Source organism: Homo sapiens, chromosome 6 (assembly GCF_000001405.40).
Source record: "Homo sapiens chromosome 6, GRCh38.p14 Primary Assembly".
Taxonomy (NCBI): domain Eukaryota; kingdom Metazoa; phylum Chordata; class Mammalia; order Primates; family Hominidae; genus Homo; species Homo sapiens.
Window position 1 is genome coordinate 113,979,643 of NC_000006.12, and position 17,950 is coordinate 113,997,592.

The following is a 17,950-nucleotide window of genomic DNA, read 5'->3' on the forward strand; positions in this document are numbered from 1 at the left end:
AATAATACATTTCTGTATAAATACATGCAAAAACATTTCATGAATAAATTAAGATTTAACTAAACCCTATTAGATTAAAAAAATTTTTGGCTCTTACAAATAGTGCTTTCTTTAAATCTGTTAAAATACGTCTTCATGCATTGGTCCAATATTTAGCTTAAAAAGCTTTTGATACATAGTTGTCTATATGTCCATTAGAATTATAAAAGTGTACATTAATGAAGCATAGGGGACAGTGGTAATTATAGTTTTTGTCTGTTTACTACCTTTTTTTTTTTTTTTTCATCTTCTGGTTCTTTGGGTGAACTATAACTCCTAACATCCTGCTCTGCCACCCATCCAGGGCCAGGATCCTGGTAGGGTTGTAAAGCACATAGCCTCCATCCTCCCATTCCAGGATGTGCTTGTGATCCAGATTGGGCCAGAATATTTTCCCCAGACATTGCTGATAGAGCAAACTGGAGAAACTTATTTTATTTGCTTTTGGCTGTCTTCCCTGACCTTAAGGAGAAGCCCGTTTGTACAAAGAGGAACTGAGAAAAATACAGAGGGAAGTAAAGAGATATAGATGATAGCAGAGGGAGAGCTAGCTAGTTAGCTAGCTAGAAAGAAAACACTGGAGCCCCTGGATTGAGCCATGCCTGAAAGCTAGCACTGCCTCTAAACTCCCCAGTTATATGGGTCAATAAATTCCCATTTTTTGCTTGAACTAGTTTATATGAATCTCTCTTATTTATAAGCCAAACAGCTTTTATTAATACATAATGCAAATTCAAAATAAAATACAAAAATTCACCCTTCTTATCAGTAAATAATTTTAATAGTTATACAAACTAATTGCCTATTATGTGGTCCACAATTTTAAACATGTAAGCTCTTAAGTACATGATTTATCACTCGCTTCTAACTATGTAAATATCTAACTTTGTAGGAATACTGCACTTTAGCAAAACATGATTTTTTTCAGAGACTGAATATTTAGATAAGTAAAAAGTTTCTATGGCTTCACATTTCAAAATTTCATCCTATAATATTATTTCAAATTCTCAAGGTGCAGTGAAAATATGGTTGCAGTTATAAAAGTTCAGTTTACTCAGCTTTTCAAGAACACATTAATGTGCAAAGACACTATTACATAACTTTGCTTTGCAGTTGCACTTTTCCCATTTGAGAGAACTGTTCAGTCATACTTTTGTCATTATCTCTTAGTACTTGTATAGTTTTTGACACAATTGTTGTACCGTAGCATATAAAGCTACAGAAATATGATTGGCATTACTTTATAAACTAAAGACACAAACACTGTTACATCTCTTATTTTTCCCATTTCTAGTTTGAAGTTTCACATGCCATATTAACTGAAAGCATTGTGTCTCTTCCTAAACATCTTTACTCTCAAATTGTCAAAGAACTCTAGGAGATGATGGAATTAAAAGCAGGTCAGTCCTGGTGAACAGATGGCACTGAGGTCCGCAATAGCTCTTCATTGCCACAAGGTGTCACAGAAGGAAGAGCTTGCACAGACTGGCCACCCTCTGCTGTAGGGAGACCCTTGCTGGTCCAAACCCCTGTCTAAATAGCAATGACATCCCTCTGTAGTTCATTCCCATTCCCTGAGGATCATCTGTTATTTTCTAAAACACAGCCAGCCTATGAGCGTTGCTGGATCCAGGGAAACAAGTATTGCCCATGTCCAAACCAGCCCTATTCCATGAACGCTTAAGTCCTTACCTTCTTTTAGAGGGTTAGGGAGAGCTTTCAATTTTTATATAATTTTAAACTTTCAGAATAATTGCAAAAATAGTATGAGAAACTTCTGTATACCATTTCCCCAGATTCGCCAATTGTTCACACACACTTTTTTTTTTTTTTTCTAAACCACTTAAAAGTAGGTTGGAAACATTTCAGTGTGTATTTCCTAAGAACTAAGACATTCCCTTACATAATCAGATAAAGTCATCAAAATTAGGAAATCTATATAAAACTTATCTAATTCAGGGTTTGTATTAAAATTCCTGCAAACTATCCCAATAGTTTTTTACAGCTAATTTTTCTGCTAATTTCAGATCCAATCCAGAATCATATATTACACTTAGCTGTGATGTCTGCAGAAATACCATAGGAGTGATGTTGTGTCCTTAGTGACCATGACAGGAGATGCATTAATCTATTTTCCTTATCTATTGGTCTTGTTAACTTTGATAACTAGGTCAAGGTGGTGTCTACCAGGTTTCTCCACTGTGTAGTTTTCATTTTCCCCTTTGTAAATAAGTGATTTGTGGGAATACACTTCAAGACTCCCCATGTGGTTCCTTAGTGTTTCTCACAGAATGGTTAGATGGGTTCTAAGAATGGATGTACCAATAGAGTTGAAGAAGATGGCATTTTTATGATCTTGCCTCAGAAGTCGCATAACTTTACGGCCCTTCTTGGATGAAGCATTCACAAAGGTGCACCCAATTTTAAGATGGGGGGACATAGAGCCCACTACTCCAATGTCAAGGTGACATTTCAGAAAAGCATCGTGGATTGAAAGGATTATTGCAGCCAACTTTGAAATACTCTGTTAGCCACACTGGGCAGTACCATGCCTACTGAATCATAGCCACTTACTCCCAGCAGTACCACCCTCCCACTCTGTGTCCAGTCTGTTTAATTTTAGGCCTCTGTGAACCCTCTTAAGATTGGCATTCTCAAGAGAGGCCTGGGATTAACATCCAGTGAATTTGTTGGGGCCCAGTTGTCTCATGTGCCTGTTGCTGCCACTGTGCAGTGCAGCAGATGATGGGGGTGGCATCTGCCTGTGAGTCATGTTAGCAAAGAGGAGAACAAAGGCAAGTAAAAAAGACCCTAATATTGCCCTTTATCCCAGAGCCACTTAAAAACAACAGTTGACTTTTTTTTTTTTTTTTGAGATGGAGTCTTGCACTGTTGCCCCAGCTGGAGTGCAGTGTTGCGATCTCGGCTCATTGCAAGCTACGCCTCCTGGGTTAAAGCGATTCTCTAGCCTCAGCCTCCCAAGTAACTGGGATTACAGGCGTCCACCACCATGCTCAGCTAATTTTTTGTATTTTTAGTAGAGATGAGGTTTCACCATGTTGGCCAGACTGGTCTCGAACTCCTGACCTCGTGATTCACCCACCTTGGCCTCCCAAAGTGCTGAGATTACAGGCGTGAGCCACTGCACCCGGCCCAGCAGTTGACCTTCTAACCTCCTTTATTTTCAGTTATCTTTGGATGCCACTTGTACACACTGGTCCTAGGATCTATGCTCAACTCACAGTTGACTTTTCCCACCCTCTGCCCCAAGGCCATCTAAATTCCACACTGTGTATATGCTTCCTGAGACAGTGGAAACTTTTGGAACTCTGTGTTCCAAACATAGAATAGAACTCTATGTTCTACTCCATGAATGGGCTGAGACTTTACAAATTTTCTACTTGTAAAGTGTATTTAGCAGCTGTGGGAATAAGAAGTTGGTGACTTCTTAGGTAGTAATCTGCCTCATCATATTGATCTAGTATGAGGTAGCCAAAAATATATGTTTTTATGAAAGAATATTGTATATATATGTACACTACAAATTGGCAAAAGATTTGAAAAGACACTTCACCAAAGAAGATTTGCAGATGTCAGGTTCTTTAAAAAGTACTCAACCTCAATCACTAGGGAAATGCACATCAAAACCACAATGAGATGCCACTATACACCTGTTAAAATGGCCACAGTTAGAAAGACTGATCACCTCAAGTGTTAACAAAGATGTGGGGCAATTTGAGCTCTTATACACCACTGTTGAGAATGTAAAATGGCACAACCACTATGGAAAACAATTTGACAGTTTCTTTTAAAAGTTAAACATTTGGCAGGGCGCAGTGGCTCAAGCCTGTAATCCCAGCACTTTGGGAGGCCAGGGTGGGCGTATCACTTGAGGTCAGGAGTTGGCCAGCCTGGCCAACATGGTGAAACCCCATCTTTACTAAAAATACAAAAAAATTAGCTGGGCGTGGTGGTGGGCGCCTGTAATCCCAGTGACTCGGGAGGCTGAGGCAGGAGAATCGCTTGAACCTGGGAGATGGAGGTTGTAGTGAGACAAGATGGCGCCACTGCACTTGAGCCTGGATGACAAGAGTGAGACTATGTCTCAAAAAAAAAAAAAAAAAATTCGTCAACCAGGCACAGTGGCATGTACCTATAGTCTTAGCTTTTTGGGAGCCTTAGATGGGAGGATCGCTTGAGCCCAGGAGTTTGAGGCCAGCCAGGGCAATCTAGCAAGACCCTGTCTCTAATTTTTTTTAAAGTTAAACATACATCTATCTTGTGATCCAGCCATTCCACACCTAAGTATTTATTTAAGAGAAATAAGAGGATACAAACATATAAAGATTTGTACATGAATGTACATAGGGGCTTAATTTATAATAGCAAAATACTTGAAAAATCCAACAACCTGTCCATTAACAGGTGAATGGCTAAACAAATTGTGATATAGCCATGCAATGTGATACCATTCTGCATTAAAAAATGAACTATTGATATATGAAGCAACATAGATGATTTTCTATTGTGCTTAGTAAAAGAAGCTAGACAAAAATAAATACATACTGTATAATTTCATTTATATTAAATTCTAGAAAATGCAAACTATAGTGATAGCACATCAGTGGTTGCTTGGAGATGGGAGGAGCAGTGGGAGGAGCAGAAAGGGAAGGATTACAAAGAGGCAAGGGGAAATTTTTGGAATTTACGGATATATTCATTATCATGACTGTGTGGATGATTTCATAAGTGTATATGCAGGTCAAAACATCAAATTGTTTATTTTTAATATGTGCAATGCAGCATGTTGTACATAAATTATACATCAATTAAACAAGTATATATCCATTACACTTGCTTATAATATGAATATTTCAATTCACAGGCTAGAGGATGAAGTAAAGTCATATTTCTTTTTTTTTTTTTTTTTTTTTGAGACAGAGTCTCACTCTGTCGCCCAGGCTGGAGTGCAGTGGCACGATCTCAGCTTGCTGCAACCTCTGCCTCCCAGGTTCAAGCGATTCTCCTGCTTCAGCCTCCCGAGTAGCTGGGATTACAGGCGCTCGCCACCACACCCAGCTAATTTTTCTATTTTTAGTAGAGATGGGGTTTCACCATGTTGGCCAGGCTGGTCTTGAACTCCTGACCTCGTGATCCACCTGCCTTGGCCTCCCAAAGTGCTGGGATTACAGGTGTGAGCCACCGTGCCCAGCCAAGTCATATTTCTTTTTAAGAGACTCCCATTCCATCTATTCTTTGATCTCTTCAGGATCTCCACTGTGATACATTTAAGAATTCTGAGGTGCTTTGTCTAAAAGGACCATAGTTACATTATGAGGAAATCTGATGGTCTGCTGAAGCAGCCCATTTGCTGCTGCTGTTGCTGTTCCCATCAAGGAGTCTTCAAGGTGCCAGATAAGGAGAGGCCCTGGCATCAGCCACATGCTCTGCCCAGAACAAGTGCTGTCTTCTCAATTTACATCCAAGAATATATATAGTCTACTTCTTTTAACTGCACACAGATTATTTGCTCCATATAGATAACCAAGGACATTATGGCCTAGAAAAGCAGTGCTGTAAATGATAGTATAATTCTCAAAATCTAGATCTTCAATAATAAATAATTTCATAACAGGGCCACCACCTAAGTTTTCTTCTATTGAAAATCTTTTCTTCTGATTTTTTTTTTAGGGAAGGATCTAAATCTCCATTTAATCAATGTTTATTTTTCTCCATAGTCCTTAAAATCCTAGGCTTTAGCATCTGTCGTAGATTTAAGTGAACTCAGACTAATCTCTGAGAACAATGGATGGTTACTTGCTTTATTTTTATAAATAATTTCGTAACATTTTTTCCAAATGAAGGGCATCAAGTCCAAATGCTGTCTTCCTCTCTAGGGAGTGAAACTGCCATTAACTGCAAAAGGGCATTCCCTGGTTGAAACAAATATGTATGTTAAGTTTTCCTCAAAGAAGCATCACACGCCCTGGAGACAAGAACTTGGAACTGGCCTTGGGATAGGTAGAGGATTGGCCTCCATGTATCTTCAAGTGATGAAAATGCAGAGGTTCTCATGAAGGGGACCCCAGAACCTGTGCCATCTCAGTCATCCTTCCCCAGGGGAAGGTGCTCTGTGGATGCTAAATTCAAACAGCTGAGATAGGAGTGGAGGCTCTTAATGCATAAGGGAAGTCCAGGGGTCAGAGCAGCCAAGGCCCTTCAGCTCCTTAATATTTCTAATATTAGACACACAAACAAAAAGCAGTCTGGGAGTTTGTAAGAATAGGCTAGCCAATCCAGTGACCCCTACTCATAGCTAGATGTGCTTCTTCTAGATGAATTCCAGTGGCAGAGAAGAAGGAGGGAGTTCCTGTACAGTGATTGCAAGGCCGAAGATGTGAGTTTGCTACCATTTGTCATCCAAAGCTGCCTAAAAATGTAGGGGCAGCTGTGTGGTTGGGCTCTTCAGAACTGCTTTGTTACTGTCCCAACCACTGTTTAGGGCTGTGTAAACTAGGTCCACTCCTCTCCTTTGGCATACACTCACCTGCTGAGACACAAGCAGGAGCTGGAATCCATTGTTCATCCTCTGTCAGTTAGGAGGGGCTTTGAAGTGCTGGCCACGTAGGGGGTTTTTGTGAGTTTCCAGGCCGTCTGCTCCATGGGTGCCAATACATTTGGAGGATGATGCCAGGTAGCAGCCTGAAGAAGAGCTGGGAGACCAATGGCCAACATACAAAAAAGCTCCCATGGTGCTTGCCCTGGCCTTTTCCTAGTTGTGGCAGTTGTAGAGATTTGACACATTCAAGATGACCATACCATGAAAGCCAGCACAATTAATTATGGGCCATTTTGAGGGTACTGGGGCTCACATGTTGATATGGTTAGGCTTTGTGTCCCCACCCAAACCTCATCTTGAATTATAATCCCCATAATCCCCACCTGTCAAGGGAGAGACCAGGTGGAGGTAATTGAATCATGGGGGTGGTTCCCCCATGCCATTCTCGTGATACAGTGAATTCTCATGAGATATGATGGTTTTATAAGGGGCTGTTCTCCATTTTGCTCAGCACTTCTCCTTCCTGCTGCCTTGTGAAGAAGGTGCCTTGCTTCCCCTTTGTCTTCTACCATGATTGTAAGTTTCCTGAGGCCTCCCCAGTCATGCTGAACTGTGGGGTTAACTAAACCTCTTTCATTTATACATTACCCAGTCTTGAGCAGTTCTTTATAGCAGTATGAAAATGGACTAATACACATGTCCACAGTTACTGGTTTTATGAACTTAAATCTTTTTATAGTAAATATAAAATTCCGGTGCCAGAGTTCCCTATGAACTACCAAAAAAAGCAGTTACACAGGTAGGTGTCATTGTGGCTTCCAGCAGCTTACATGTTGAAATTACCCAGATTTAGGGAAGTGCTTTTTGATTCCACCAAAAAGCTGAAGAATCTAAATGAGGTATAGATGGGGCAAAAAACCTCTAGTTAGCAGTAACCTTTGCCAAGGAAGGGTTAATGGGGGTCTGAGAAGAAACTAAAACCCCAAATTTAAACACTTGTGATTATCTGTGCTCTGTGGTCCATAACACCAATTATCAAAGTTGCGTGTAATACTTTATATTTCATAGTACAGTATAATTCTGTGAATTGCAGTGTTGAAAAATCTATAAAGTAGAACAAGCCATTGAATTAGCTAAGATGCTTTGGGCTAAATGTAACTGAAATGATAATTCAAAATGGCTTAAGCAATGAAGACATTTATTATCTCCTTAACAGGGAATCTAGAATAGGGTAGGCTTCAGGGTTGGCTGATGCAGCAGCTCTGCAGTTTTGTCAGAGCCAGGTTCCTTAGATGACATTTTCTACCATCCACAGAGTTAGTGTCATCCTAAGGTTGGTGTCAATTAGGGCAATGGTCGTCCTTCTTCTCATCTAGTAAGACAGACGAAGATACGATGGGGTCTAAGTTCTTCTTGTCAGTTTCCTTGGCCAGGCTTGATCATAGGCCCACGCTGAACTGGTAATTGTGGCAGTGGGAAAGACATGCACTTCTTGGTTTAGAGTCCAGAGGTTTCCATCTTACGCTGAGAATGGGTTACACATGTAGAGATATTGATCCCTTCAGGCCTTAGGGCTGCCATTTTTTCTTGCCCCAAAGCCACTGTCGCATCTCGCCAGTCATCTCCAAGCAGAGTGGCCTCTTCCTTTTATCCTACAGGCTATACAAGCACTGTTTTTTTTTTTTAATTCGTCACATCACAAAAAAATCTAGAAGCATTGGCTTAGGTGATGGATACAGTCCCTTTCCAGAAGCATGGAGATGTGTAGAACAGAAGTATATCTCTTACTAATATCAGGGTAAGAAGGAAGAAGGGGTCATGGATGATGCATACAAAACTTCCATGCCCACAGGATATAAATAAAATCCAAATCTGATAATCATTTATTAGACCTATAAAAATCAAGTCAAAATTTCCTCAAAAGATTGAAAAATCCTTAAAATGGTGAAGAAGATTGCCAAGCCAAGAAAGGGCACTGAATGAATGTAAAGTCTTTCAAAGTGTGATTGTTTTAGGTAAAGCAATCTGATGAATTCTTCTGTTTTCATATTACATACAATATGTTTATGTTTCAGTATCTCTCATGTGCTTTCGTGATTTTGATATCTTTAATAGAGTATTTAGATATTTTATTGTTTAAGAGTAGATGATACTTAGAAAGCATTCATCCATGTCAGGCAAGAACTGTATTAATTCATTTAATCTTCACTATAGGCCCATGATGATATACAATTTTTAAATCCATTTTGCAGATGAGAAAATTGAGAAATAGAGAGGTTAATTAATTTGCCCAATAAAACACAGCTAGTAAGCACCAGAACCTGTGACTGAACCCAGAAAATTTAGTTTCCAAATTGTTTTTATTATAAGTTGATTCAGGATGCTCTGGAAGACACAGTGGTCTAATCCAGTGGGTACTAAATGTTTGTCTATGAGCTGCAATAAAAAAATAAAATGTTTATTATAACTTAATGCACACACACTAAAAAATCTTAAAACAATACTTACTATGGAGGCAAGCATTCTGCTATTTCTGTTCCATTCCATTCTCTTCTTTGTTCTATTCTTTTTTTTTTTTTTTTTGAGACAGAGTCTTGCTCTGTCACCCAGGCTGGCATGCAGTGTCCTGATCTCAGCTCACTGCAAGCTCCACCTCCCAGGTTCACACCATTCTCCTGCCTCAGCCTCCCAAGCAGCTGGGACTACAGGCGCCCGTCACCACACCCGGCTTTTTTGTATTTTTAGTAGAGATGGGGTTTCACTGTGTTAGCCAGGATGGTCTCGATCTCCTGACCTCGTGATCCACCTGCCTTGGCCTCCCAAAGTGCTGGGATTACAGGCGTGAGCCACCACGTCTGGCCTGTTCTATTCTTTAAAAAATCAGCTGTGACCCACAAAATTAATTCTAGGACTAGTAATGGGTCACGATAAACAATTTTTAAAGCCCTGGTAATATAATAGGATTGAATACAGCAATTACGGGGATGACTTAGATGCTCAATGGTTGTTTTAGTCTGTTTGCGCTACTGTAACAAAATGCCATAAACTGAATAGCTTATAAAGAACAGAAATTTTTTCTCACAGTTTTGAAGGCTAGGCAGTCCAAAATGAAGGCACCAGCAGATTCAGTGTCTGGTGAGGACCTGTTCCTGGTTCATAGACAGCCCTCTTCTCTCTGTGTCCTCACATGGTCAAAACGGAGAGGAGGCTCTCTGGAATACCCTTTATAAGAGCACTGATCCCATTAATGGGGGCTTCACTCTCATAACCTAATCACCTCCCAATGGCCCCACCTCCTGATACCATCACCTTAGGGGTTAAGATTTCAACATATGAATTAGGAGGGTTAGGGGAGAAACTTCAAACCATAGCAGTGGTCATTTTTGAGCCAGAGGTCTAGTTCAGGAAGAACACGGAGGTGGCAGGCTGAAGATTAAAGGCATAACTGGGTTCCAAAGGAAACTGATCTCAAGGTTCCAAGAGAACTTTGAAGGGTTTTGAGTTGTGAGTAATTAACTGGATATAAGAGCTGGGAGTCAGTAGCAAATAGTGGAAAACCAATCAAAGGTATGTGGATGAGACCACTGGGGAAGAATGTGTGAAGTGGGAAGACAAGAGGCCCAGAACAGAACTGCAAGGAATAGCAGTGTTTATAAGAGGAGGTGAAGAAGTGCCTGCTGGAGAGGAAACTGTGGAACTGGAGTAGGAGGAGGCCACAGGGAAGCATGGTGTCAACAGAAGCCAAGAAGGTTTGGAGATGTAGCTGGTGTCAGCTACAGCAAAGTGATCACATATCAGAGGTGCTGAAAATAGTTTGTTGGATCAGTATTTATGATTCAATAGCATATTAATTTATTCTCATGCTGCTAATAAATACATACCCAAGACTTGGTAATTTATAAAGAAAAAGATTTTTAATGGACTCAGTTCCACATGGCTGGAAAGGACTCACAATCATGGTGGAAGGCGAAGGAGGAGCAAAGGCATGTCTTAACATGGTGGCAGGCAAGACAGTATGTGCAGGGGAACTGCCCTTTATAAAACCATCAGATCTCATGAGACTTTTTCCCTATTACAAGAACAGTACAAACAGACAAAAATTCCATGCTCACAGATAGGAAGAATCACTATTGTGAAAATGACCATACTGCCCAAAGTAATTTATAGATTCAATGCTATTCCCATCAAGCTACCATTGACTTTCTTCACAGAATTAGAAAAAACTACTTTAAATTTCATATGAAACCAAAAAAGAGCCATATAGCCAAGACAATCCTAAGTAAAAAGAATAAAGCTGGAGACATCATACTACCTGACTTCAAACTATACTGCAAGGCTACAGTAACCAAAACAGCATGGTACTGGTACCCAAAGAGATATATAGACCAATGGAACAGAACAGAGGCCTCAGAAATAACACCACACACCTACAACTGTCTGATCTTTGACAAACCTGACAAAAACAAGAAATGGGGAAAGGATTCCCTATTTAATAAATGGTGCTGGGAAAACTGGCTAGCCATATGCAGAAAACAAACTGGACCCCTTCCTTAAACTGTATACAAAAATTAACTCAAGATGGATTAAAGACTTAAACATAAAACCTAAAATCATAAAAACCCTAGAAGAAAACCTAGACAATACCATTCAGGACATAGGCATGGGCAAATACTTCATGACTAAAACACGAAAAGCAATGGTGACAAAAGCCAAAATTGACAAATGGGATCTAATTAAACTAAAAAGCTTCTGCACAGCAAAAGAAACTATCATCAGAGTGAACAGGCAGCCTACAGAATGGGAGGAAATTTTTGCAATCTATCCATCTAACAAAGATCTAATATCCAGAATCTACAAGGAACTTAAACAAATTTATAAGAAAAAAAATAACCCCATAAAAAAGTGGGCAAAGGATGTGAACAGACACTTCCCAAGAGAAGACATTTATATGATCAACAAACATATGAAAAAAAGCTCATCATCAGTGGTCATTAGAGAAATGCAAATCAAAACCACAATGAGATACCATCTCATGCCAGTGAGATGACATTGAGGGTCTTAATTGACCACAAAACTCAATATGGATGAAAATATGAAGTAGCTACCAGAAAATTGAATGCCATTTTAGACTGCATTAATAAAAAATTGTGTCTGGAGAAGGTTTTGGAGTATTGCACCTACAAACCATCTATAAACAATTATAAAACAATGAAGGCCATGTGCTCAAACTAGTCAAAAACTAAAATAGAAAGAAAAATAGGATAGAGAAGGAGATGGCCTTTGAAATGGGCCTTGAAATATTCGTAGAATTTTGATAGGTAGAGATGGCAGTCAGACATTCCAAACTGACTTAATGTGTTTTTGTTTTTGTTTTAATTTTAGAGACAGGGTCTCACTCTGTCACCCACACTGGAGAGCAGTGGTACAATTATGGCTTATTGCAGCCTCAAACTCCTGGGCTCAACAGATCCTCCTGCTTTAGCCTCCCAAGTAGCTAGGGCTACAGGCACAAGCCATCATGCCCTGAGGGTCAGCTGCAGCCCTGTTTTAGAAATAGTTTGGAATCAGGGGCTAGAACAGCAGCCAGGATTCTGGCTTTCTCTCTCACCTCACTGTTGTCTTCATGCCTGCTTCATTCATCTCTTTTTGCAGATTGGCATCCTCTGCTTCTGCAGAAAACATGGCTACCAACAGCTTCTGTATCCACCTGCGGAGGAGACTGACTGCTCTGTTATTCCCCCAGCATCTGTGAAGAGGCTCTGACTGGCTAAAGTGTTGGTATAGTGATCACCCCAGGGTTAGGCAACCATGGCTGGTGAAAAGGAAAAACGTTATGAACCTGGCTGTGCGGAGCTACCTGAGGAAGCTTGTAGGAGAAGGGTCAGTTTGCAGAGAAAGGGGGGCCTGGGCAGATGACGCAAGAGGTGCCCATTACATCCCTCTAGAGGTGAGCTGTCTAAAATGGTAGGCACTGGCCACCTGTACTTATTTAATTGTAAATGTAAATTTCTTAAAATTTCCTTAGACACATTAGCCTCATCTCGAGTGCTCAATAGCCACATGTTGCCAGTGGCTACTGTATTGAGCAGTAAAGATATAGGACATTTCCCTCATTGCAGACATAGTGGACACCTCTCCTCTAGAGTTATCTGTGGTTCTACCAGCAAAAGCCCAGGTGTTCCAGCTAGAGAAACAGCAAATTTCTCTGGGACATGAACAACTAGAAAACATCTCACCTTGTCCTCCAATAACTTGGAAAGAATTTTTTTTGGTTGGAGACCCCAGAACTGGTTCTTGCTTTTGTTTGTTTGTTTGTTTGTTTTGTTTTGTTTTTGAGACAGTGTCTTGCTCTGTCACCCAGGCTGGAGTGCAGTGGCGTGATCTAGGCTCACTGCAACCTCCGCCTCCTGGATTCAAGGGATTCTCGTACCTCAGCCTCCTGAGTAGCTAGGACTACAGGTACACACCGCCACGCCCAGCTAATTTTTGTGTTTTTAGTAGGGATGGGGTTTTGCCATGTTGGCCAGGCTGGTCTCGAACTCCTGCCCTCAGGTGATCCACCCACCTCAGGCTCCCAAAGTGCTGGGATTACAGGCGTGAGTCACCATGCTTGGCCTGGTTCTTGATTATATCCGATTTGAGCACTGAGCAAAGCCTCCTAATCTCATCATGCCTGAATTCTTAGACTACCTTACCCCCAAATTTCAAAGATAATTAATTCAGTCATCCATCTCATCTTTGTTACGCCAGGATACCAGACAAATGCAATTCCTTTTAGTTAACTGTCTTGTCCAGTTCCCGTAATGTTCCGTTTCTTCTGCTGGTTTCCTTCTTAGTCTTGTCCATTATGCCTTATCAAAACTTTACATGGCAGAGATGGCTAGCTGTCCCCTAAAATTCAGCATCCCCTTTCACAGTGTAGAGATGTCAGTTGAATTTGGCTGCCCAGCCAGGAACCGCATCTTCCAGCCCTTCCTGCATCCAGATTATGCCATGTGACTAGTTTTCATCAATGAAATGAGAAAGAGATTTATGTCACCTCCCAGATGGGGTTTTTTAAAAGCATGATTGTTTTCTCTACTCTCTTCCCCTATCTGAATAGGAAGGAGTCTGTAGCTTTAGGGGAAGACAGAGCCACAAGATGGAAGGAGCTTGGATGTCTGAACTATTCCATGGAGAAAAGCTGCAGCCAACGAAGAACACCTGCAATGGACTCTTAACCTGGGGGTGACGACAACCACTGAAATGTGAGGGCTTATTCGTTAGCATTTGTCTAGCATTACCCTAACTGATATCTAATTAATTTCCTTACATCCTCAAACTTCTTGCCTTAAATTTAATCTCCTGCCTGTCCCCCAGGAGTTCAGTTCCCCTCAAGCTTCTGGAAGAGAGGCTGCTCATTCTTCCACAACAGCCTAGACACCATGGAGGCTGAGAGATGGTACTGGCATTTTCTTTTTTTTTTTTGAGATGGTGTCTTGCTCTGTCGCCCATGCTGGAGTGCAGTGGCACGATCTTGGCTCACTGCAACTTCAGCCTCCCAGGCTCAAGCGATTCTCTTGCCTCAGCCTCCCAAGTAGCTGGGATTACAGGTGTGTGCCACAGCTGGCTAATTTTTGTATTTGTAGTAGAGATGGGGTTTCACCATGTTGGCCAGGCTGGTCTCTAACTGCTGACGTCAGGCAATCCATCCATCTTGGCCTCCCAAACTACTGGGTGTGAGCCACTGCGCCTGGCTGTTATTGGCATTTTCTTAACTCCTAGTTGCATTGTTCAGACCACTTCACATGTGAAATTAATGCCATCCAACTTTTTTTCCTAGTTGGTGTTCCACACACAGATTGGCATTGACATTGTTATAGAGCCTGCCTATGCTCAGGGAGAGAATTTGAGGATGAAAGGGAATATTGGCATCAGTGTCTATGGCAACCTAAAGAAATGTATATGAATTTGCGTATACATCAAGCTCTCTAATTACCATGAGGAAAAACATGAATTCTTTCCCAGTCTGGTCCCTCTTATTAGTCTCACTTTTCTTTCCCCCATCCACCAACTGCATCATCTGTCCCATTTCCATGGGGTGTGTGGGCAGCTGAGGGAGATCCAGCATAAGACATCAGTGCTGAAAACCCTAGCCTGGAAACACCAAAGGCCAAATGAGACTCCATCACAGAATTTCTAACACATATATCCAAGGTGCAATGACCCAGTTTGTCAAACCTTTAGATTATGTGATAATTTACTGATGATTCACTTTAGAGATTTGAAAATAAAAGTACTTTTATATTTTTGTTTTTCTGAAAATGGTCCCAAAGTTCAATGATTTTCTTGCATATCTCAAATATTACAATGGGGTGATTTAAGGCCAGCACATTTTTGCAGGCTATCTGAAAAGAACTTACTTTTCCATAAAGCCCTCTAAGTTTCTTTGCCCTTATTAGATTTATAGCTGATTCTTTCAAAGCTGACTGTGACCTTGACCTGCAGACAAAAATAGCAAAATATAAATTTTGTGGAAGGCAGTAGCACTGTCTTTCTTGGATAAAGTCTGCATCTCCTACCAAGAAAAAATCTAAGAGGTATTGCCAAGCTAATGCACATGGTTAAAGTAACTGCCCCATTGCCCCTTTTCTTTCTTTCTTTTAATTTTTTTGTTCTAGGTTTACTGCACTTGCCTCTAGCAGTTATGGAATTCTATGCCACTCAAATCCTCTATCTGTTGCAAAAATGTGCATCCCAAGATGGTGCTCTTGAGCTGTGGTGCAGTATCTTCAGACAGACACTGTGGGTCCCACAATGAAGCAATGGAGAAAAAAGACACCACTAAAGAACCACCAGGGTGCAGCATTCCTGAGTGGCAGAAGCCATGCAGGAAATGGCAGTATGTACAGCTGGCACTTTGAAGAACAATGAATTCCTTCAAGGCTCTGTGCAGACATTTCAAACAGTGGATACCAGACAGGCTTGGCATAGCTTAGACTCAATTATAGCTAGAATTATTTTATTTCTGGGTAGGTAACTGAGAGAAGCAGGAATTGTGCATGTATCTCCATATGGTTTTATTTTTAAAGAATGAAATAGCAACAAATATAAACAACTGCTGTAACAGCAAAGAGCATAATTTCTTCTAAAATGAGGATTATATTTAGAACACTCCAAATGGGGACACACTGTCTGACAAGAAGTCAGAATATCGGAAAATGGAAGTGTCTTACTTAATTAAATAACCCTGAAGTAATTTAATATCATGAGTAGGTGAGACTTTTAAAAAGGGTTAAACAAAGGCATATCCCTAAGTAGAAATATGTAGCCCTATCACCTGCAAAATTGTCATAAATCTTTGTGTTTTATTTTCACAGATGCTGCATCTTAGTCCAGGGATTTTTAAAGTGTGGTTCCTGGAAGAGCTGGATCAGAGTCATCTGTGTTGATGGTTTAACATAAAGATTTTCGAGCCCCAAGACTCAAGTAGGACAAGGAATTTGAATTTTTAAGCAGCTCACCTGACTTGTCTGTCCTCTAATGTCTGAAGACATCTGACCTCTGCTCTTTCAGTAAAAGCAACAATGGTTTTATGAGCATTGTCGTCACATCTCTCCACTCAAGGGATCCTTCTCATTTCTCCCAGCTGAGGTCACCCACAGCTGCTGCTTCTAACTGCTGGCTTCCAGCCTGCTGTCTGCCAGCTGGCTCTACCCTCTCCTATAACACGGCAGAGAGTAGCTGTGGTCTCCTGCGTGCTCACCCTCTGCTCCCTTGGTCCTGCTCCATGCTTTGGTCCTGCACTTAAATTTTACAAGCATACTCTCTTTCTCTTAAGGTAAGCAACCATTTTAAATCTCAGCGGTAAACAAAACAAAAAATCACCAGGAAACTATATGAAATCAGGTTTTTTTGTTTGTTTTTGGTTTTTGGTTTTGGTTTTGTTTTTTTGGTGGTATTTTTTTTGTTTTTTTGTTTTTTGTTTTTTTGAGATGGAGTCTTGCTGTGTCACCCAGGATGGAGTGCAGTGGAGCCATCTTGGCTCACTGCAACTTCCGCCTCCCAGGTTCAAGCAATTCTCCTCTCTCAGCCTCCTGAGTAGCTGGGATTACAGGCACCCACCACCATGCCTGGCTAATTTTTGTATGTTTAGTAGAGATGGGGTTTCACCATGTTGGCCAAGCTGGCCTCAAACTCCTGACCTCAAGTGATCTGCCTGCCTCAGCCTCCCAAGTGCTGGGATTATAGGTGTAAGTCACCACGCCTGGCATCAAAGCAGGTTTTAACCAGCCTTTTTGTCCACTGATAACATAAAGGAGGTCAGCAGCAGCTAAGTCCTGTGCCAGAAGAGCTTTCTTGTCCTTTCACACTGCAAGAGAAATAATCACTTAGCTAAGAGGCCAATTTTACCTTTTTTAAAAAAAAATTTAAAAATGAGGGCGGGTGCAGTGGCTCACTCCTGTAATCCCAGCACTTTGGGAGGCCAAGACGGGCAGATCACTTGAGGTCAGGAGTTCGAGACTAGCCTGGCCAACATGGTGAAACCCCGTGTCTACTAAAAATACAAAAAAATTAGCCAGGTGTGGTGGCGGGCGCCTGTAATCCCAGCTACTTGGGAGACTGAGGCAGGAGATTCCCTTGAACCCAGGAGATGGAGGCTGCAGTGAGCCAAGAGCACACCACTGTACTCCAGCCTGGGCAACAGAGCTGGACTCCGTCTCAAAAAAAAAAAAAAATTTTTTTAAATGAGAGCTATATCTTATCAACAAAATTAACTATGTTCGTTTTTGGAGTTTTATTTTTGTAGCATTTACAGAAATCTGTTAAGAGCTTCTTAATTATAAAAATGAGTTAATAACATATTTCTCAAATTGACTTATCAATTCGTTGTCATTGTGGACGAAATTACTTTATAATCAATTACCATAAAGAAACCTGATTTGATTTCAGCTCACCCTCAATATTCAAGGCACTTGGATTGTTGGTCTCCACCCATTTATTATGTGGTCTACTAAAAATAGACCACATCCTAGGAGTTAGCATTCCAAGAACAGTTTCCACTTATTACTCACTTCTTGATATTTATGGAACTGCTCATTTCGCAAATATTTCAGCTCTACTCTCCAATCTTTAGAAGAAAAAAGAAAATAACAATAACAACAATAGAATTTCATTCTCTCCAGAGAGTTAGCAAGGAAATGAGAGCGGAAAGAAAGCAAATGGGAAGTTAGAATTGGGGAAAATGTAAAGCAAAGCCAAATGTGAATAGGAATAGCAGTTGACAAGAGGGGAAAAGAGGGTGCAGAGGACAAATATACCAATAGAAAACATGTAAACTCAATAGCATGCAACCTTTTAAAAAATAAATGA

General features: G+C 40.8%; 2 long non-coding RNA genes across 2 annotated transcripts in view, besides 2 other annotated features; one reads left to right on the top strand and one right to left on the bottom strand.

The window, feature by feature from the left end:
- HDAC2-AS2 (HDAC2 and HS3ST5 antisense RNA 2) overlaps positions 1-17,950 on the top strand; it is a 371,029-nt gene that overhangs the window by 9,942 nt on the left and 343,137 nt on the right. Inside the window, exons 2-4 of the long non-coding RNA NR_125845.1 lie at positions 12,251-12,376; positions 13,701-13,845; positions 15,958-16,418. This is a non-coding gene — a long non-coding RNA (HDAC2 and HS3ST5 antisense RNA 2). The remainder of the gene's footprint in view (positions 1-12,250; positions 12,377-13,700; positions 13,846-15,957; positions 16,419-17,950) is intronic.
- LOC124901384 (uncharacterized) lies at positions 7,780-11,540 on the bottom strand. The gene is made up of 2 exons (XR_007059719.1): positions 9,681-11,540; positions 7,780-9,034 (listed from the first exon to the last, which is right to left on the bottom strand). It is a non-coding gene; the product is annotated as an uncharacterized LOC124901384 (long non-coding RNA).
- Positions 16,103-16,397: a silencer, noted in NCBI's record as "tiled region #9060; HepG2 Repressive non-DNase unmatched - State 4:PromP". NCBI's record gives its function as "represses a minimal TATA promoter and a strong SV40 promoter by Sharpr-MPRA in HepG2 cells {active_cell/tissue: HepG2}" and the evidence as "EXISTENCE:reporter gene assay evidence [ECO:0000049][PMID:27701403]".
- Positions 16,666-17,865: an enhancer, noted in NCBI's record as "CDK7 strongly-dependent group 2 enhancer chr6:114317472-114318671 (GRCh37/hg19 assembly coordinates)". NCBI's record gives its function as "activates an origin of replication core promoter dependent on BRD2, BRD4, P300/CBP, MED14 and CDK7 cofactors, with strong dependence on CDK7, by STARR-seq in HCT116 cells {active_cell/tissue: HCT116}" and the evidence as "EXISTENCE:reporter gene assay evidence [ECO:0000049][PMID:35650434]".